The sequence below is a fragment of the Homo sapiens genome, chromosome 16, assembly GCF_000001405.40.
Source record: "Homo sapiens chromosome 16, GRCh38.p14 Primary Assembly".
NCBI lineage: Eukaryota > Metazoa > Chordata > Mammalia > Primates > Hominidae > Homo > Homo sapiens.
Genome location: NC_000016.10, coordinates 81,007,163 through 81,028,532, shown reverse-complemented (window position 1 = coordinate 81,028,532; position 21,370 = coordinate 81,007,163). Strand labels below are relative to the sequence as shown.

Sequence of the window (21,370 nt, the reverse complement as noted above, 5' to 3'; positions counted from 1 at the left end):
TAAAAGTCATCACAGGAGGATGGATTTGAGTCAGTTTAAAAATGGCTGAGATTAGAGGGTGGATCATAGATGCCCCTCCTCCCTATTAAGTACAGAAGCAGAAGATGCAAGAGAGAGCAGGATGGGCTAGCAGACTAGGGTGATGGGTGAGCTCAGAAGTAATTAGCAGATTATAAGGATGGAATGGAGGCATGTTGTTAATTTTTCTAGCTTATAGAGTAAGCTGACCACTCACCCGCTGGTGCTAAGGATTTCAATGCTTCCAGAAGATGTGGGCTAGAGAACTTTATTAGGCATCGGAGGGGTTCTTCCCTCTCAGCCAAGATGCTCCCATTTAAACCACTTTTGAATTTCGTTTCAAGCTGTCAACAAACATTTATAAATGACTATTAAACATATTGTATAAATACGAATGGTAAAATATAATGAAATCATAATGATACGTTTCATTAATTCTTGCCATTAAGAAATACAGGAATTAACAGGGGTGGGGACCATTTAATCTGCTAACTGCAAACATAGAGGGCAGGTCGGGCAAAGTGGCTCATGCCTGTAATCTCAGCACTTTGGGAAGCCAAGGCGAGTGGATCACTTGAGGTTAGGAGTTTGAGACCAGCCTGGCCAACATGGTGAAACCCCGTCTTAACTAAAAATACAATAATTAGCTGGGTATGGTGGTGGGCACCTGTAATTCCAGCTACCCAGGAGGCCAAGGCATGAGAATTGCTTGAACCCAGGAGGCGGAGGCTGCAGTGAGCCAAGATGGTGCCACTGCACTCCAGCCTGGGCAACAGAGTGAAACTGCATCTCAGAAAAAAACAAAACAAAACATAGAGGGCAACTGGTGTATCAAACAACATCCAAGGCAAAATGCCAGCATGCACAGTGCCTGCTACATGGGAGATACTGACTGTCAGTTCCACCCTCAGGTGCCCTTTACAGTTTGCATTCTTAATGGAAAATTAGTGCTATCTTTTGCAATCTGTAACTTCAATGTAAAAATACCACATTTTTTTTGAGTCACACTGAGATTTCTTTCTTTGTTTCTTTTTTGAGACAGAGTCTTACTTTGTTGCCCAAGTTGGAGTGGTACGAACATGGCTCATTGCAGCCTCGACCTCCCTGGCTCAAGCCATTCTCCCGCTTCAGTGCAAGTAGCTGGGACCACAGCCACATGCCACCACACCTTGTATTTTTGAATTTTTGTAGACACAGGGTTTTGCTGTGTCGCCCAGGCTGGTCTCAGTCTCCTGGGTTCAAGGGATCCGCCCGCCTCAGCCTCCCAAAGTGCTGGGATTATAGGTGTGAGCCACTGTGCCCAACTGAGATATCTTTTTAACTTCTAATTATGGAAGATTTTAAACATATACAAAAGTAAGGAGCACGGTATGAGCCCCATGTGCACATCACCCAGGTAAAATAATTATCAACTTATGGCTGGGCGCAGTGGCTCACGTCTGTAATCCCAACACCTTGGGAGGCCGAGGCAAGGTGGATCACCTGAGGCCAGCCGTTCGAGACCAGTCTGGCCAACACGATGAAACCCCGTCTCTACTAAAACTCCAAAAAAAAAAATTAGCCAGGTGAGGTGGCAGGTGCCTGTAATCCCAGCTACTCGGGAGGCTGAGGCAGGAGAATTGCTTGAACCTGGGAGGCAGAGGTTGCAGTGAGCCATCACGCCCAGCCCAGATTCATAATTTCTAAAGGTCTCTTTTGCTAACAGAGGAACTTATAAATACAATAAAGAGGTCTATTTAATTCATAAATTTATTACATGAAATTTAAGTGACAAGTGAAAAAGGAACAGTTTCTTAGATCTGTTTTCCACTTAAGGTTTTTGTTCTTTTTAAACAATGTTGATATCTTGTACTTAATATTTATTACGACATCTTACCTTATATTGTGCAAATTCTAGTTGTGGTTGAGGATAATCTCCAAATGTTTCTTGAGTTATTCGTTGGACTCTCTCTTTTTCTACTATGTTTTCATGAATGATCCTTGAATCCACTATGGGTGGAAGATTTCAAATAAAACAGCCGTTAGGAATATATTTCATCCTTAAATTATCCTCCTTTCATTCCTAACCCTTCGAATTGTTTGTATAATTTTAAAATAATATTTACTGCTTCTTCTCTTGGCTGTAATAATTTCTTAGTGTAGGGAAGTTTCTTAGGGTAGTGAAGTACAGGTTGATAAAAGAGAAAATAAAAATCATAATTCTACCACCCAGAGATAAGCACTGTTAGCATTTTAGTATATTTTTGCCTAGCTCTTTTTACAGTGAATAAAAATAAAGATGCATATATGTGTATATATATATACACACACATATATATACATATATATACACACACATATATATACACATATATATACACATATATATATACATATATATATACACACATATATATACATATATATATACACACACATATATATACACACACACACACACACACATATATATATATATATATCTCCATGGCACCCAGCCTATATATGTATTTTTTTTAAGAGATGGGGTCTCGGCTGGGCACGGTGGCTCACACCTGTAATCCCAGCACTTCAGGAGGCTGAGGCGGGAGGATCACTTGAGGTCAGAAGTTCCAGACCAGCCTGGCCAACATAGTGAAATCCCATGTCTACTAAAAATACAAAAATTAGCCAGGTGTGGTGGCAGGCGCCTGTAGTCCCAGATAGTTGGGAGGCTGAGGAAAGAGAATCGCTTGAACCTGGGAAGCAGAGGTTGCAGTGAGCTGAAATCATGCTACTGCATTCCAGCCTAGGAAATAGAGTGAGACTCTGTCTTAAAAAAAAAAAAAAAAAAAAAAAAAAAAAGAGAGACAGGGTCTCACTATGTTGCCCAGTCTGGACTGGATCTCTTGGGCTCGTGATCTTCCCTCCTCAACCTCCCAAGTAGCCGGGACCACAGATGCATAACATTGTTCCTAGCCTCACCTATGTATTTTTAAAACTGGAATCGTAAGATACACACAATTTTATATCCTGATTTCTTTACCTAAGATGAGATCAACAGCAGTTCCTATGACACTGGAAAATCATAAAAGTGTTTAGTTTATAACAGTGGCACTGTTTCATTTCATTGCCAAATCTCTACTAAGAGATAGGAAAGTTTTCATTTTTTTATGAATTTTTATTTTACCCCACCACTTTTGTAAATTTACTTTAGTAGTTCTGTACTCTTTTCTCTTGGGTTTTCTAGTGAGAGACTTCAGACATCTGTGAGTAGCAATACAGTCATGATTCTCATTGTTCTAGAAGTTTATCCAGCGCATTAAGAGCATGGGCTCCAGATCCAGACGTACCTGGATTTTACTCCCAGTTTTGCCACTCCTTAGCTGTGTGACTTTGCCTAGAGAGTTACCATACCTCCCTGAAACCCAGTTTCCTGATGAATGGCGCTTATTCACAGGACTACTGTGAAGATTAAGGAAAGAATACATATAAACATCTTAGTGTGGTGCCTGGCACACAAGAAATGCTCAACAACTATTAGCTAACTTTTGTTTTTGTAATTATTGTTTTGTTGTTTATTGTTATTCTAGTAAATTCTAAAGGAGAACTATGGTAGATTAGCTTTCCTCCTTCAACAGATATTTACTTTTCAATTTTTCTGAAAACAATAAAAGTTTTAAATTAGGATCCTACTATACACGTTTTACCAAGTGAAAGAAATCTATAAGGGAATGATGCATTTCCAAAATTCAGTTTCATATTAACACACACGTACTATTTATATCTAGTCCAAGGCTTCTTTCCTGTAGAGGTGTCGTAGAGTTGTGAGTTTCAAAGGTCTAGGGAAAAAAAAGTGAATATTTTACTAATCTTGACATCTTGAAGTACAGATATTAATTTTTTTTTTAGTATATTAAAGTATGTCAAATGTTTATTTTTTTCCAACAGAAAGATCCAAAGCCATATCCTGGCTGAGTTGGCTGAGTTGAGCAGGACACTGACAAGGAGGCTGCTGAGCCTGCAACTCGACTGTTCTGTTTGAGGAGCTCTGTGCTTTATCATAGAAATGGATCTGGTGAGTGCAGAGCCCAGGGAATCTACGGAAGCATTTGCACTGTGGTATTTCAGCGTCGTCAGTGCTCAATCTTCATAACCCTAAAAAACTTACTGAGATTGGAAAAATAACTTTCCTACTGTAAGTCTGAATCTCTTGAACCCCTTCTCCTACCTTCACCCACTGAATCCATTGTTTTTATAGTTCTGTGCTTGACAACGTGGATTTTCGTAAGAATGCCACTGTCTTTTTTTTTTTTTTAGACAATATCTCAGTCTGTTGCTCGGGCTGGAGTGAGTGGCATGATCATGGCTCACTGCAGCCTCAGTCTCCCTGGGCTTTGGAGATCCTCCTAACTCAGCCTCCCAGGTAGCTGGGACTATAGGCATGCGGCACCACACCTGGCTACTTTTTTTTTTGAGACAGAGTCTCACTCTGTCGCCCAGGCTGGAGTGCAGTGGCACTATCTCCACTCACTGCAAGCTCTGCCTCCCGGTTTCATGCCATTCTCCTGCCTCAGCCTCCCAAGTAGCTGGGACTACAGGCACCCGCCACCATGCCTGGCTAATTTTTTTGTATTTTTAGTAGAGACAAGGTTTCGCCGTGTTAGCAAGGATGGTCTTGATCTCCTGACTTTGTGATCCGCCCGCCTCGGACTCCCAAAGTGCTGGGATTACAGGTGTGAGCCACCGCGCCCGGCATGCCTGGTTATTTGTTGTATTTTTTGTAGAGACGGGTTTTCGCCATATTGCCCAAGCTGGTCTTGAACTCCTGGGCTCAAGGGATTTGCCCTTCTTGGCCTCCCAAAGAGCTAGGGTTACAGGCATGAGCCATGGTGCCTGGCCACTACTGTCGTATTATAGCAGAACAGTTTATATCAATTTGGTGAGAGGGTAGTAGGTAGGAGGGGATGGCTAGAGAAGAAAATCATGATCTAAGTTTAAAAAATATATATTATTTATTTTTTGTTTTGTAGAGATGTGGTCTCCCTATGCTGCCCAGGCTCATCTCAAACTCCTGGGCTCAAGCATTCCTCCCACCTTGGCCTCCTAAAGTGCTGGGATCATAGGCGTGAACCACTGTGCCTGGCCTCATGATATAACTTCTTAATGTTAGTTTTTCCTTAAAGAGGGACTGCTTGCAGAGAGCTGTCACTTCTTTCTGCTTAGAACAGATGAAAATACAGAAGTATAACATCTCTAGTGGCTCAAAGATATACACAGAGCATTAACAATCCACTCACAGGAGTGTCAACACATATGCAGACATCTGCCATGCATAGTTTGAAAAAACACCCCTGCATCTGTAAGGACAGATCTGTATTTGTCATTAGAGGGGAACATTACATTCAAATTATTTTAACAAATGAACTTTGGGATTTAAAAAACCACTGCTTTTCCCTTTAATTCCAGTGCCTGTATAACCTGCTTGAGTGATGGGACAAAAAGTTAATTCTACTTCTCTGTTGTTTCATAGAATAATATATTTAGCTTCAAAAGATAATGTGAAGTTTCTCTAAAGAGAAAACAAATTCTAGTGTGATCAGGTGATTTGGAAGCTGAGATCTACAACACAGACTCCAGTGACTAATGAGTGGTATAAAACACAATACAATTATAAAAAGATGACTGTGAGGAATTTTTATTTTCCTTTCATGTTCACTAATTGCAAGCTTTCTTCATTTCGGTAATATCTAAAATGATCTCCTCTTGTCGGAGGTAGATTTTCCCAGTAGCTTCTAACTCCTGTGTCAAAGAGAAAATAAAGATTTACCTTTAAAGAGAGTCACTGATTGGCTCACCTGATTATACTGTTTAAAAACAATAGCCTTAAGAGAGTCCAGATACCGACTTCTCAGGTCCATTTTCACAATCTGATGGTGTTTGCTAGCAATTGTCAGCGCCTTGAAATGAAAATTTGCAAGACTATTACTAGGATTACTGCCTCTGTGTTTATAATACTTGTCAAAGTAAAATGTAAGAGCTGCAATTAGGGAATAGTTTCCCCGTAAGTGTAAAAAGAAGTCTAGAAAAACATCTGATAGCCTGTTACTGAGCTTCAAAAACAAAGTGGTTAATGGCATTAATACTCTGATAAATGCAGTCTTTTGTATCATTTCTTAGAAAAGCGATCCTGTTTAAAGTTAGGAGTTACTAATAAATCAAGTTCAGACTTTGGAATAAACAATAAATACTCAAAATGTTACTGTTTTTGAATATCAGTCATCTAATACCATAATGATATTGCCATACAAAAACGCAGATATGTATGCTTTTTGGCAAATACTGAAGAAATAAGTGTGTATTGAATACAGCTCATAAGAGTTTCCTGTCATTAGGGGAAAAGAAGACTGAAACAGAATTACTATGATAGGATAAGATGTTTAACCTGATCTAGAGAACAGACAAGTTTGCCTTAAGATACACAATAGAAATGAACATTAGTCCGCGCAGTGGCTCACGGCTGTAATCCCAGCGCTTTGGCAGGCCAAGGCAGGTGGATCACTTGAAGTCGGGAGTTTGAGACCAGCCTGGGCAACATGGTGAAACCCCACCTCCACTAAAAATAGAAAAATAAGTTAGCCAGGCATAGTGGTGAGTGCTTGTAGTCCCAGCTACTTGGGAGGCTGAGGCAGGAGAATCGCTTGAACCTTGGGGGTGGAGGGTGCAGTGAGCCAAGATCGCCCCACTGCACCCCACCCTGGGTGACAGAGTGAGACCCTGTCTCAAAAAAAAAAAAAGAACATTAGCCTTTGGGGTAATGTTTAAACTACCTGTGGCAAGGTGTACTCACCTGGCTATAAGTGGATGAAAGACCACTATGTATCATGGAGCAGGAGACCCCAAATGTAAAGAAGTGTTTTAAGGAAATAGAAGTGAGTAGCAGTCTTTGCCATTTCAATAAACCACCAAAAAACTTAAATGACAAGCAAGTAGTCATTTACTACCTAGGGCTCGCCTGGTCACAACAGTGGAGTCCTTGGTACTCCACACCGCACCTCCACCCCACTCTGCTGTGGAGTGACAGGACATGATGCAGCCAGGATGGTGGAGCTGCTCGCCTACAACCAGCTGATGTGGCAGCTCTGGAACCAATTGAAGGTGCCACTGAGGTTGTGAATGCTAACAGTGGTAGCAGCAAGTGCCAGGCCAATTTAGGGAGAACTAACTTTGGGGAAAGATGCTAGGAAGCCTGTGATATTAAAGGCAGAACCATAAAGAGAAGCAGGCTCGGAACAGAGGCTACATCTTATGTGAAAGCAGTCTCCTTGTGTATGGAATGTGGGAGAAATGGTTACAAATGAAAATAATGTTCATTAATAAGCAAATTATACAATTATGAAAAAGTAATGAGGTATATTCATTTGTAACCACGTGGAAATGTTATGTTAATTTTTTTTTTTTTTTAAGACGGAGTTTCTTTCTCGTTGCCCAGGCTGGAGTGCAATGGTGCGATATGGGCTCACTGCAACCTCTGCCTCCCGGGTTCAAGCAATTCTCCTGCCTCAGCCTCCCAAGTAACTGGGATTACAGGTGCCCACCACCACGCCTGGCTAATTTTTTTGTATTTTTAGTAGAGACAGGGTTTTACCATGTTGGCCAGGCTGGTCTCAAACTCCTGACTTCAGGTGATCCACCTGCCTCGGCCTCCCAAAGTATTGGGATTACAGACATGAGCACCGCGCCTGGCCTACCCTGGCTTTTCTAATAACCATCTTGTCAAAGGAAATAGCAAACTTTGACAGTAGTTATTTTGAACGAACGGAATAGGGAAAAGGGGTATGAAGCTTTGAAGACTTTTTATCTTTAGAGACTTCTGTATCGGTTGCATTTTTTTATATTAAGTATGCATTATTTCTAGATCAAAAAACAATAAAATATAGCTCCAATCTAATATCTTATGCCATGTTCCCATCTGCAGATAACAACACTCTGTTTCTTATTTTAGGAGAACAAGAATTACATGTGGTATTCTATATCTTTTTTTTGTTTTTTTAGAGGTGGGGTGTTGCTTTGTCTTGTGATCGCAGCTCACGGCAGCCTTGGACTCGTGGGCACGAGCAATCCTCCCACTTCAGCCTCCCAAGTAGCTGGGACCACAGGTACATGCCACTGCACCTGGCCTAGTATTCTCTATCAAATACTTATTCAACAGTTAAAATCTATATAGACCTTTGAGATAGGATAATAAAATATTATAGCTTGTAATAATTTTTTCCATACCTGACCCAGAAGCGGTGTATTGCGCCTCAGCATGGAGGAGGACGTGAAGGCGTACGGAGTCTGGGAGTAGTACACCACGTAGGTAGGTTTGTACTGGTTTGGCTTTGTGTACTGTGTTCCCCAGGCAATTCGAATCCAGACTGCATTCTCCTCAGTTTCTCTGAAGCTGACTGTCACCTTATTAAAGAAAAAAAAAAAAGGCTTAATTTCCTAATTAAAATTTCACTGTGGCACCAACTCCAGGTGCTTATTAGGGGTGAACAATGATGTCCCTATACTCTTGTATGCAGGTTGAGACCTGGCAGTCTTTTCTGCTTTTCATGAGTATTTTGAGAATCTTTGGGAAAACATTTTGTGATTTTAAAAAAAAAAAATCCTTTTCAGTTCTTTTTTTTTTTTTGAGACTAGGTCTTGCTCAGTTGCTCAGGCTGGAGTGCTGTGGCATGATCATAGCCTGCTCACGGCAGCCTCAACTTCCTGGGCTCAAGCAATCCCATCTCAGCCTCCCTAGTAGCTGAGACCACAGGCACGTGCCATCATGCCTGGCTAATTTTTTTAAAAAAGTTTTTTTTTGTAGAGGTGATTGTTTTTTCAATAATTTCTTGGGCTTGTCCTGAAAACTGTTCCTCCTTACGTAAGAATTTATGAGGTAAGGCAGCCTTACAAATGAGATACTTGTTTTATAATGAAGCCTTCTTAGCATCTAACCCAGACCTAGCACACGCTATAAACTTTAACAGTAAGATTTCTATGTAATTAGGCTGGGTGTTGTGGCTTATGCCTGTAATCCTAGCACTTTGGGAGGCTGAGGTAGGAGGATCGCTTGAGCCCAGGAGTTTTGAGACCAACCTGGACAACATAGTGAAACTCAGTATCTACCGGAAAAAAAAAAAAAAGCCAGGCACGGTGACATGTGCCTATAGTCCCAGCTACTCAAGAGGCTGAGGTGGGAGGATGGCTTGAGCCTGGGAGGTCTAGACTATAGTGAGCCGAGATCATGTCAGTGCATTCCAGCCTGGGCAACAGAGTGAGACCACGTTTCCAAAAAAAAACAAAAACAAAACAAAAAGAAGAAGAAAAAGAAGATTTCTATGTCATAATGGGCTTAAAGAAGATTTCTATGTAATAATGGGCTTGAAAATATACTATTCCTAATGCTCTTATGCATTTAGCTCAGAAGCTAAAAACTCCTCTAAAAGAATGTTACATGGCAAGACCAGAGGTACTACCTTGAATCCACTTCATGGATAAAATACAGGCCTTTCCAAACTTTTAAATATGGTTGCCAATTGGTCTGGAATTTAATAGGCTGCTCCTGGATTATCAGCTCCCCTCTGATTCAGCTTCCCTTTAAAGCTCTGAGCCTAGAAAGGAGGGACTTGAGTGAGATGCACTCAGCTTGCCCACGTCTCTGTTTCCTCCCTCTGAGATCTTGTTCTAGGAAAAGTGGGTTGTTACAGTGGCACTAGCAAATTCTGCTCATTCTTTAGCAGCTTTTCCAAATTCCCTCAGTGCAGGAGACAAGAAAGTCTCCCCAGTCCAGGGTATGGCGGCACACAGCTGTCTGACTTTCCTGAGTGAGCATCATAGAGCTTGGACCCAGTCACATGCTCAGTGGGCCTCTACTGCCTTGAATGGAAGATTGTCTTATTCTGAATAGCTTCTTTGTTTTACATTAAAAAAGCAAAAACATCTGTAAAATCAAGGGTGCTTCAGGTTTGCACTGACTATTACTGGAACTACTAGCTACATGTGGCTATTTAATGTAAAAAATCATTGAAGTTTAAAAAGATTAAAAATTCAGGCTGGGTGCGGTGGCTCACACCTGTAATCCCAGCACTTTGGGAGGCCGAGGCAGGCAGATCATCTGAGGTTAGGAGTTCGAGACCAGCCTGGTCAACATGGAGAAACCCCATCACTACTAAAAATACAAAAATTAGCTGGGCATGGTGGTGCGTGCTTGTAGTCCCAGCTACTCGGGAGGCAGAGGCAGAAGAATTGCTTGAACCCAGGAGGCAGTTGCAGTGAGCCGAGATCTCGCCACTGCACTCCAGCCTGGGCAACAGAGTAAGACTCTGTCTCAAGGAAAGAAAAAAAAAAAAAGATTAAAAATTCAGCTGCTCAGTCACACTAGCCGCAAGTGCTCAGCAGCTACATGTGGCTGAACTGAACAGTGCCAATACAGAGCATTTCCATCACTGCAGAAAGCTCTGTTGGACTGAGCTCCTCTGGAAAAAGAAGCCTCAGGCCCTGAATGGACAGGAGAGAGGAAAGGGAAGTTTTCATAATATTTACAGTGTGTTTCTGATATGGAGTAGAACCGTATGAACTATTACTAACTGAATTTCTTACAAATTAAAAAAAAACTATGATAGTAGCAAATTTTAAGTGCACAGACGTCATGACATTGAATTTTATGTAAAAGATGAATTTTATTCTTACATTTTTTAATGCTCTCTGAAGAATTTTCTTGAACGAATTTTTAAATTGTTTCATATCAAAAAGGTCAACATCTTCACCTGCCAAAGTGAAAAAAAAATAAAGAAAAATCAAGGGAGCTACAATGTCTTCAGTAAATACATTCGTAAAGTACCATGAAACTAAGCATTTTGTATAATTCCAGAGTAATAATGATCAAATCACACAAATGGTGCTAGTACTTCTGACATGGCACCAAGAAGTATGTTTCTCATTTTCCAAAAGTGAGTAATAAATAATCACCTCATTTTGAAAGAAATGAGGAACATACTGCTATTTTTTTTTTTTGGATATAGAGTCTTGCTCTGTTACCCAGGCTGGAGTGCAGTGGTGCAATCTCAGCTCGCTGTAACCTCTGCTTCCTGAGTCCAAGCCAAACTATCAAATATTCAATTGTAAACAGAAAATATTACCTGGTCCTTTACTCATCTGAAAAACTTCCCAAACTTTCTGGTGCTGATGAAATTGCATATCTGAGAGAGGGAAGAAAGCTTTATTACTAGCATATCATAGAACTTTGAAGTAATATGCTTATAGATATTTCTATACTTTAAAACTGGGGAAAGTAACAGTAATTCACAAATTGAGTTATACAGATTTGTATTCAAAATATAAACTTTATATGGATTAAAGTACTTCATATAAATAAAGCAAATCATAATTACTTAATTCAACTGACTTAGATAATACAGTTGAGTTTTGGTATTTATTCTATGTTAGCCCATTTATTCCATTTCCACATTCCATTTATTCCATTCCACAGAATGCCACATTAATCTGGCACGACAGGGAATGCTGTGCCCCACAGGACCCACATTTGAGCCAGCTGTTCCTCTGCCTGGAGCCTCTTCTCCTAGCTCCTTACACACCCTACTCCCCACCTCATTCTGCTCTCTACTCAGAGTAGTCCCCGCCCGGATCACCCTACCCCAAACACCCTGCGTTAGTTCCCAGTTCCTGTCGGAGGACTCATCACTACCTGATGTCACATTATGTATGTATGTATGTATGTGTGTATTTATTATTATTATTTTTTGAGATGGAGTTTCACCCTTGTTGCCCAGGCTGGAGTGCAATAGTGCAATCTCAGCTCACTGCAACCTGTGCCTCCCGGGTTCAACCGATTCTCCTGCTTCAGCCTCCCGAGTACTGGAATTACACATGCCTGCCACAACGCCTGGCTAATTTTTTGTATTTTTAGTAGACATGAGGTTTCACCATGTTGGCCAGGTTAGTGTCGAACTCCTGACCTCGGGTGATCCACCTACCTTGGCCTCCCAAAGTGCTGGGATTACAGGCGTGAGCCATCGTGCCCAGCCACATTATTTATTTAGATGTTCATTTGTACACTGCCTGTCTTTCCAGTTAGACTCTGATGGAAATGAGGGACCTGTTCACTGTTGTAGTCCCAGGTCTAAACTTAACTGCGTGGCATAAAGCAAGCACTCAATATTTGTTTTGTTTTTCTAAGAGACAGGGTCTCACTATGTTAACTGGGCTAGACTTGAACTCGCGGGCTCAAGCAATCCTCCTGCCTCAGCCTCCCAAGTGTCCCACACCACCACACCAGGCTTCAGTATATGTTTGATGAACGAATGAATGAATAAGTATATGACAGAAAACACCTTTCAGGAGTTACAAACTTGGAGTGTCTTGGAGTAGAAATGGACCTAGGAAGTTAGCAAGTTCAACCATATCCCTTCATCCTTCTGGCTTAAAATTGTCTCTGCACTGACCTCTGTCTGTGCCTCTGGACTTCAGACCAGGTTTTCTTTTCTTTTTCCTTTTTTTTTTTGAGACAGAGTCTCACGGTGTCGCCAGGCTGGAGTGCAGTGGTGTGATCTTGGCTGACTGCAATCTCTGTCTCCTGGGTTCAAATGATTCTCCTGCCTCAGCCTCCCGAATAGCAGATTACAGGTACCTGCCATCATGCCCGGCTAATTTTTTGTATTTTTAGTAGAGATGGGGTTTCACCATAGTGGCCAGGCTGGTCTCCAACTCCTGACCTCAGGTGATCCACCTGCCTTGGTCTCCCAAAGTGCTGGGATTACAGGTGTGAGCCACTGCGTCCAGCCAGGTGCTTAATGAATTTTTGAATCAATGTATGAGAAATGGGAATGGTGTGGATCCACCTTTTATGCTTGAGAGAATCCAACCACTGAAAATGAGACAAACTAAATCAGAGGCAGATGCTCCAAATTCAGCAATAGCTGAATTGGAGCATGCCATGAGTTGGAGCAAAGTATTAATAAAGATAATTTTTGTTACACTTACAGAAAACAGCTAATACATAATGATTGCAATTAGTTAATACCAGGCTTTAAGTATTTAACATGTACTCTTATTTAATCCTCACCATAACCTTATGTGATATTATCACTATTATACAGATTGGTCAAATGATAATACCAGAGATGTCGGTATGCCACAGAGATGTTAACCAACTTCCTCCAGGGCTCACAGGGAGGCAGTAACGGAGCCATGAAATGAACCCAAGAGGTCTGGCCCCAGGGCCTGTGTTCTCAGCCCCTATATTATGCTGCCTTCTGATAAAAAAAACAGACATCTTGAAAAAGTACAGACAGGAAAGCTAGACAAAAATCAATGAAATGGAAGGGAGGAGAGGTGAGAAGCTACACTGTAATAGGAACAAATTTTCAGAAAGATATTTTCAAATCCTTTAATAATAATACAGATGCTTCTTGACTTATGATGGGGCTATGCCTGATAAATCCACCTTGAGGTGAAAATAATTCACCTAACCTTCATATATCTTAGCTTAGCCCAGCCTACCTTATGTGTGCTCAGAGCACTTACATTAGCCTACAGTTGAGCAAAATCATCCAACAGAGTCTTCTATCATAAACTGTTGCATACCTCATGTAACTTACTAAATGCTGTACTGAAAGTGAGAAAAGAATGGTTGTATAGGAACTCAAAGTATGGTTTCTGTTGAATGTCTGCTGCTTTCATACTAGTTGAAAATTTTTAAGTTGAGCTGTTGTAAGTTGGCAACCTGAGTAATACAAAGCCAAACATTTACTTTGTGTTTCTGATGTGCCAGTTACCATGCTAACAGCTTCTCGGGCACTACCTCATTTAATCCTAACAAGAATACCGTGAAGTAGATAATGTACTATTATCTCTGCTTGAAGTCTGAGGCTCAGAAAGGTGATGCAACTTGTCAAAGAACATACGGCTGAGTGACATACTGGGATTTGAAACAAGGTCTCCTGAACTCTAGACTCTGAGGCGTTATATACAAAATTGCTTCTGGGACAAGTACAGCGGTTCACACCTATAATCCCAGCACTTTGGTAGGAGGAACACTTTAGCCCAGGAGCTGGAGACCAGCCTGGGCAACACGGCAAAACCTTGTGGCAAAAAATACAAAAAATTAGCCATACATGGTGGTGCACTGCTATAGTCCCAGCTACTCGGGAGGCTGAGGTTGGAGAATCACTTGAATCCAGGAGGCAGAGGTCGCGGTGAGCTGAGATGGCGTTACTGCACTCCAGCCTGGGCGACAGAGGGAGACCCTGTCTCACAAAGAAAGAAACAAAATTGCCTCTAATAAACTGATTGGTTAAGTATAAATACAAATCACTGACACTTACAAATGATGTCTAACAGGGCAGCATCACTGATACTTGCACGCTTTTCCTAAAAGAGAAAACAAATTATTTAGTAACTGTGGTTATAGGTTTGGTTCTATCCCGTTTAAAACACATTTTAGGATTGGTTAGAACAGACTATTAGCACATTCTCAGTACTTTACTGACAACCCATCTCCAATCTCTTCTCCTGTTAACCAATGGACATTCTTTCTGATTCATGTCTTAGTCCACAACCTTCTCTCACAATTTATTCCTCATTTATCACTTTTAACTTTTTGATTTTTTAAAAATTAACTTTATTGAAGTATAATTATCATCCATTAAACTGTATATTTTTAAAGTATACAATTTGATACATTTTGACTTATGAATATACACACAAAACCACTACCACAATCAAGACAGTGACAATATCCACCAGCACTGCCTCCCAGATTTTCTCGTGTCTCTTTTTTTTTTTGGAGACAGAGTCTTGCTCTATTGCCCAAGCAGGAGTGCAAACGCGCAATCTTAGCTCACTGCAACCTTTGTCTCCCAGTTTCAAGTGATACTCCTGCCTCAGCCTCCCAAGGAGTTGGGATTACAGGTGTGCACCACCATGCCTAGCTGATTTTTGTATTTTTAGTAGGGAAGGGGTTTCACCATGTTGGCCAGGCTGGTCTCCTAACCCAAATGATCTGCCTGCCTTGGCCTTCCAAAGTGCTGGGATTCCAGGCAGGAGCCACTGAGTCCAGTCTTGTGTCCCTTTCTTATCACCGCCCACTTCCTTCCACTCTTCTTGGTTCCCATGTCTCTACCTCCCAAGCCTTAGTCCTAAGGCAAACGCTGATCTGCTTTCTGTCATTACAGATTTGTTTGCATTTTCTAGAGGTTTATATGAATGTTAACATAAGTGTGTACTCATTTTTTTGGTCTGGCTTTTACTCAGCACAATTATTTTGATATCCATCCATATGTTAGCATCTATGAATACTTCATTCCTTTTTACTGCTGAGTATATCCACTGTATGGAAACATCACAATCTGTTCATCTGTTTACCTGCTGATGGACATTTGGGTTGTTTCCAGTTTGTGGCTTTTATGAATAATGTTGCTGTGAACATTAGTACACACGTCTTTATGTGAACGTGTTTTGTTTTTAAAACAATGCTACAATGCATCTTCATTTATATAACTAAATATTTATCAATATTTATACATACCTCCTATTTTTTATTATTTTCTCATCATAAATTTCTGTAAGTAGAATTGCTAGGTCAAAAAGTATATTTATTTAAAAGCAAAGGAGGCCAGGCATGGTGGCTCACACCTGTAATCCCAGCACTTTGGGAGGCCAAAGTGAGCAGATCACCTGAGGTCAGGAGTTTGACACCAACCTGGCCAACATGGCAAAACCTCGTCTCTACTGAAAATACAAAAATTAGCCAGTGTGGTGGTGCGTGCCTGTAGTCGCAGCTACTCAGCAGGCTGAGGCACTAGAATCGCTAGAACCTGGGAGGCAGAGGTTGCAGTAAGCTGAGTTTGTGCCACTGCACTCCAGCATGGATGACAGAGCAAGACTCTGTCTCAAAAATAAATAAAAAATAAATAAATAAAAGTGAAGGAGAGACGGGTATATTGGAATAAGAAAATTATTTGAACTAAATTTGCAACTTTTCTGATAGTCTGAAAACATTTTAAAACAATAAGCAATTAAAGAGATAAATACACATGAAAGACAGAGTCTCTTTCCTTACAAGTTTGCCAATACATCTGGGTGTTGTTGTCTTTTCATCCTTGATAATTTGATAGGTTTAAAAAAATACTGCGAAAAATACTGCTCGTTATTTTAATTTGTACTGTTTTTTCTACTATATTTACTTTTTCCATCTTATTGATTTTTAAGCATTCTTTTAAGATGAAAAGGTCAATTAAAAATTAGGTTTTTTTCCACTGCAGTTGTATATAGCCCTCATCACTTCACTAGTAGTTTAGCAGCTACCTTACATCTCTTTTGGAGTAAGGAATAGAAGAAAGAAAAACCCAAGGGGGTAGCACTCTGTTCAAGGCTCATCATTTTTAACACTGTTACCTCACACAGATGGATCAAGTGCTGAACTACAGATTCCTTTCTCTGTCGGAAATTTACAGTCTGCAGTTGATTTTCAGACAAAAAATCCCAGGCCTTCAGGATTGTTGTCAGTTCATTCATGGGGATTTTCAAGATGGTCCTCTTGATGAACTCAGCAACAGTCTCATCCATCTCTTTGGCACTTTTACAAAACAAAAACAGCACAACAAAGTATTAACCAAATACAATACTTGTCTGTCTTTATTTACACATACACATACACATATGAAAAATAGAGACAGGGTCTCACTAGATTGCCCACGTTGGTCTTGAACTCTTAGGCTCAAGCAATCCACCCGCCTCAACCTGCCAAAGTGCTGGGATTACAGGCGTGAGCTACTGCGCCTGGCCATCGGCATCATATTTAGCTGGGATTTTGATTTGTAGGTCCAACACCTAAATGTTTACACTTTTTCAGCTATTTTGCAGTGTTTTAGCATGAGCATTTAATTATTTTCTCCTTAATGTATATTTAAATGTTTTAGAGTTTAAAAATTAGTGCTATCTCTCCTTTTCTGGCTAGAGTATTTTGATGTTTTGATGGTGATGATATATAAATCATTCATTCATTTACTGATTCATGTAACCCCTTACTGAGGATCTGTGCATGCCAGGCCCTTTTCTAGGCACTGGGGATACATATGTCTTTGGCCAAAAAGACAAACATCTGTTCCAGTATGGCACATCCATTCTAGTGGGGAGAGAGAAACAACAGGGAAATCACAAACTATGTTAAAAGTGAGGAGTGCCGGAGAAAATGGAATAATTTTGGCAGGCTGAGTTGAGCGTGGGAGTGCTGGAGAGAGTAGGCATCATAGAGAACATGACTTGGGGGCAATCCTTGTAGGAGAAGGAGTCATGTGGTGGAAGAGCTTTCCAGGCAGAAGGAACAGCATGTGCAAAAGTCCTGAGGCAAGAGCCTGCTTGGGGCCTTCGAGGAACAGGGAAGGGTGGCCTCCAGTCAGGGGACAGCAGAGACAGGAAGGAGGCATAGAGAAGGAGGTGAGGTCAGTCATCATGGAGGGCCTTGAAAGGCACTGCGGGGATCACTGCTGTTTTCACTCTGCAAGGTGCTGAGCACAGGCAGGACATGCTCTTGTTTAGCTTTTCTACCAGGATCAATCTCGCTACTGTACTGAGAACGCAGTGTAAGGAGGCGAGGGCAGAGGTTGGAGGTTAGTGAGGCAGGGGAAGAGGTCAGGTTCTGGATACACTTTTAAGAGGGAACTCACGGGGTTTCCAGATGGATTACATGTGGGGTGTTAGATCAAGAAAAGAACCAAAGATGAAACCAAGGTTTTTACCAGGGAACTAAAAGACAAAGTTACTATTAGCTGAGACGGCCAAGACTGCGAGAGAGGCAGGAGAAAGCTCAAGAATTCTGTAATTCTGTTCTGAATCTGTTAATATTAAGATAAAGATGAGAGTCCAAATGGAGATACCGAATAAACAGCTGGATCTGTGACTCCACAGGACATGCTAAGAGCTAGTGGTGCAGTGGATTGCTGTCTCTTAGTCCTTTAATGCACCGCCTGTGAACAAAGAGCTCTTTCCTCCCTCACTTCTCCTGCCCATGCCTGAGGGTGAGATTCCTTAATTGTCTATAAGGTCCTGAGCCCCAAATCTGGTGTGCCTCCCTTATCAATAGGCAAGGGATATAATCTCCAGAAGAATGACCTAGCGGCTGCAGGAATAAGGAAGGAAGATTCTGAGCTCTTTTATCATTTTCCTTTGGCAGAAGTTGTGAGCCAATGGTGACAGCTGATCTCACGTCTGCTACTTTATTTGGGGACACCAGTGAGCATCTCTCTCTCTCTCTTCAAATACAGAACAAAAAAGCAAGCAAACATGATATTTATTTATTTTTTTCATTTGAGATAGAGTCTCACTCTGTCGCCCGGGCTGGAGTGCAGTGGTGCAACCTCGGCTCACTGCAACCTCCCCTGCCTGGTTCAAGTGATTCTCCTGCCTCAGCCTCCCAGGTAGCTAGGACTGCAGGCGTGCACCACCACGCCTGGCTAATTTTTGTATCTTTAGTAGAGACATGGTTTCACCATGTTGCCCAGGCTGGTCTCGAACTCCTGACCTCAAGTGATCTGCCCTCCTCGGCCTCCTGAAGTGCTGGGATTACAGGTGTGAGCCACCGCGCGTGGTCTGCAAACATGATTTTTATACAATGCAGGGTACCACCCGCATACTTTAATGTCCCTTAACAGTGTGTCTTCTAGGAAGGCACACACAGACCTTGGCATCTGTGTTTAAGACAAGCCTGTCAGTCATCTGTTTCCTTCACAACTGTGGGAATTCCAGGGACAAAGAAGTATCTTCCTACAAGAGTCCTGGCTGTGACTTATTTGTTGAACACTGAAAAATTATCCTTGTCCACTTCTGAAAAGAAATAGTTGACTGTATTTTAACAATATACTGAAAATGATAGTAAGACAAAGATAAAGAGGAAGGATTAGGAGTCATTTAGAAATAGAAAAATAACTGAATTAAGGTCGTAGGAACAGAATCAGGATCATGAAACAGGAGTCGGATTTGTTTCTTTGTGTAGTTACTGGACCATCTAAAGCCTTCACCATGGTCTACAAGGCCCCGTGTTGCGTGGCCCCTGCTTCCCTCTCCTTGGTTTTCTGAGCTCCAACTACACTAGTCTCTTAAATAATCTCTAGAGAAGGACCATTGTGCCTGCAGTTACAACTGCCTAGAAGGTTCTTCCTGCACATGTTCTCTCCAGTGACTTCTTGCAATTCTGGTGTTAGCTTAGATGGTTTCTCCTCAGACTTATCCTGACCACCCAACCAAAAGTTACTTCCCCACTCTCCACTGCTAATTGTTTTTTTCCTTTTTTTTAGACGGAATCTTGCTGGGTCACCCACATTAGAGTGTAGTAGTGGGATTTCTGCTCACTGCAGCCTCCTGCAGCCTCTGCCTCCCAGATTCAAATGATTCTCCTGCCTCAGCCTCCCGAGTATCTGGGATTACAGGTGTGCACCATGACACCCAACTAATTTTTCTACTTTTAGTAAAGATGGGGTTTCACCATGTTGGTCAGGCTGGTCTTGAACTCCCAAGCTCAAGTGATCCTCCCGCCTCGGCCTCCCAAAGTACTGGGATTACAGGCGTGAGCCTCTGCACCAGGCCATCCACTGCTAATTGTCTTTACAGAACTATCTGAAATTATCTTTTTAACTTTTCTTGTTTCTAAAATTGAGCTCCAGGGCAGGACGATGTTTTTATTCACAGCTATACTCCTAGACCAGAACTGCCTCACTATAGTCAGTAAGTCTAATCAGGCCAAGAACAGTCTAATGTGTCTTTGATAAATACTTGTGGAATGAATGCCTGAGGAGACAACCTGGGTGGTTTGGGGTTCAACAGTCAGTGAAACATCAAATCAACACCTCTCCCATTAAGAACACGGGCGAGGGGCCGGGAGCGCGCCGGGCGTGGTGTATCACTTGAGGTCAGTCGTTCAAGACCACCCAGGCCAACATGGTGAAACTCCGTCTCTACTAGAAATACAAAAATTAGCCGGGTGTCGTGACGCACACCTCTAGTCCCAGCTACTCGGGAGGCTGAGGCAAGAGAACAGCCTGAATCCGGGAGGAGGAGGTTGCAGTGAGCCGAGAACGTGCCACTGCCCTCCAACATGGGCGACAAAGCAAGACTCCGTCTCAAAAAAACAAAAAACAAACAAAAAAACCCACAGACGAGGCTACCCGTTAAAATGAAGATTCCTGGGCCCTATCAAATTAAACTGTGAGGAGGGCGCACGGAGGGCTTGAGATTTAGCATCTTTTAAAAAGTACGTCAGATGATTTATTCCGGGTAAAGTTTGCAGAACGCCAGTCTAAAGAAATTTGGTAGAGCGCCCTCAGTCTCACCAATTAAGACGGAAATCCCTTTAGTAAACGTTTACCCCGTGACCATTTTTAAACTTTCCTTTTTTTGTTGTTTCGGAGACACAGTCTCGCTTTGTCGCCCAGGGTGCAGTGCAGTGGCGCGATCTCGGGTCACTGCAACCTCCGCCTCCCGGGTTCATGCGCTTCTCCTGCCTCAGCCTCCCAAATAGCTGGGATTACAGGCACCCGATACCACGTCCGGTTAATTTTTGTATTTTTAGTAGAGACGGGGTTTCACCATGTTGGCCAGGCTGGTCTCGAACTCCTGACCTAAGGTGATCCGCCCACGTCGGTCTCCCAAAGTGTTGGGATTACAGGCGTAAACTACCGCGCCTGGCCCCATTTTAAAACTTTCTTTATACTTCCTAGCGTTTTAGTGTCTGACATACAGTAGATGCTCAAGATCTGTGGAACGCATGATCAAAAAGATCCATTTTAAGTAACGTTCCCGTAGCCACACACCTCTGCTGCGCTCCAACAGGCAATGCGAGGAGCAACGCAAGAGGGTACAGGGACAAAAAACGACGGAAGCCGAGGTGACAGAAAAGCAAAACCCCAACTCTGGGAAAGGAAGCAACCCCAGGATCGTAGAGCGGAGCCCCTGGTCACATGACCACACGGCCCTCCCCTGACGCAGTCGCGAGCCTACGAAAGGCTCCACCCGCCCCACCGCGGGCGAGGTGACGTCACAGCCGGCACAGCGCCACCGCCCCCTCACCTCGGCCCGAACCGTAGTTCCTCGCCCCGAGCCCGAGACCCAGCGCCAATCCTGCGCCTCACAACGTGCGACAATTGCGAAAAAGCCACCCCCGAGGCCTGGGATCTGGCTTCCTCAAGGCCCCACACCCTCCGGGGCCCGATCCAGTGCCGCCCGGGGCTCTCTTACCGGCCCACATCTCCTGCAGTCTCACTCCTCAAGAGCTGTTCCCGCTCGCCGCGCCTTCAAAGCCACCAATTGCAGTTCCCGCCGCCTCCAAGCTCCGCCCACCGGAGCACAAGCA

The 21,370-nt window shown here is 42.4% G+C and overlaps 1 protein-coding gene and 1 long non-coding RNA gene across 17 annotated transcripts in view, besides 2 other annotated features; one reads left to right on the top strand and one right to left on the bottom strand.

The window, feature by feature from the left end:
• Positions 1–11,792, top strand: part of CENPN-AS1 (CENPN antisense RNA 1) — a 23,571-nt gene extending 11,779 nt beyond the window's left edge. For 4 of the 9 annotated variants that reach the window (XR_007065134.1, XR_007065133.1, XR_007065130.1 and 1 more), the window contains exons 3-4: positions 3,928–4,054; positions 8,032–8,241. This is a non-coding gene — a long non-coding RNA (CENPN antisense RNA 1). Of the gene's footprint in view, positions 1–3,927; positions 6,239–8,031; positions 8,242–11,497 lie in introns of those variants that run through there. The other 5 variants (XR_001752279.2, XR_001752278.2, XR_007065136.1 and 2 more) reach the window with 4 other exon arrangements.
• The window catches only part of CENPN (centromere protein N), a 25,894-nt gene extending 4,575 nt beyond the window's left edge, over positions 1–21,319 (bottom strand). For 2 of the 8 annotated variants that reach the window (NM_001100625.3, NM_001100624.3), the window contains exons 1-10: positions 21,256–21,319; positions 16,423–16,603; positions 14,352–14,397; positions 11,148–11,207; positions 10,699–10,775; positions 8,257–8,433; positions 5,835–5,936; positions 3,755–3,818; positions 1,895–2,007; positions 236–362 (exon numbers count right to left, since the gene is read on the bottom strand). In NM_001100625.3, the coding sequence (NP_001094095.2) occupies positions 236–362; positions 1,895–2,007; positions 3,755–3,818; positions 5,835–5,936; positions 8,257–8,433; positions 10,699–10,775; positions 11,148–11,207; positions 14,352–14,397; positions 16,423–16,593 (937 nt within the window). In that variant the 5' untranslated portion in view covers positions 16,594–16,603; positions 21,256–21,319. Of the gene's footprint in view, positions 1–235; positions 363–1,894; positions 2,008–3,754; positions 3,819–5,658; positions 5,779–5,834; positions 5,937–8,256; positions 8,434–10,698; positions 10,776–11,147; positions 11,208–14,351; positions 14,398–16,422; positions 16,604–21,087 lie in introns of those variants that run through there. The other 6 variants (XM_006721236.5, XM_047434366.1, NM_001270474.2 and 3 more) reach the window with 6 other exon arrangements.
• Positions 20,811–20,950: an enhancer, noted in NCBI's record as "active region_11175". NCBI's record gives its function as "activates an Ori minimal core promoter by ATAC-STARR-seq in GM12878 lymphoblastoid cells {active_cell/tissue: GM12878}" and the evidence as "EXISTENCE:reporter gene assay evidence [ECO:0000049][PMID:35858748]".
• Positions 21,261–21,370: an enhancer, noted in NCBI's record as "active region_11174". NCBI's record gives its function as "activates an Ori minimal core promoter by ATAC-STARR-seq in GM12878 lymphoblastoid cells {active_cell/tissue: GM12878}" and the evidence as "EXISTENCE:reporter gene assay evidence [ECO:0000049][PMID:35858748]".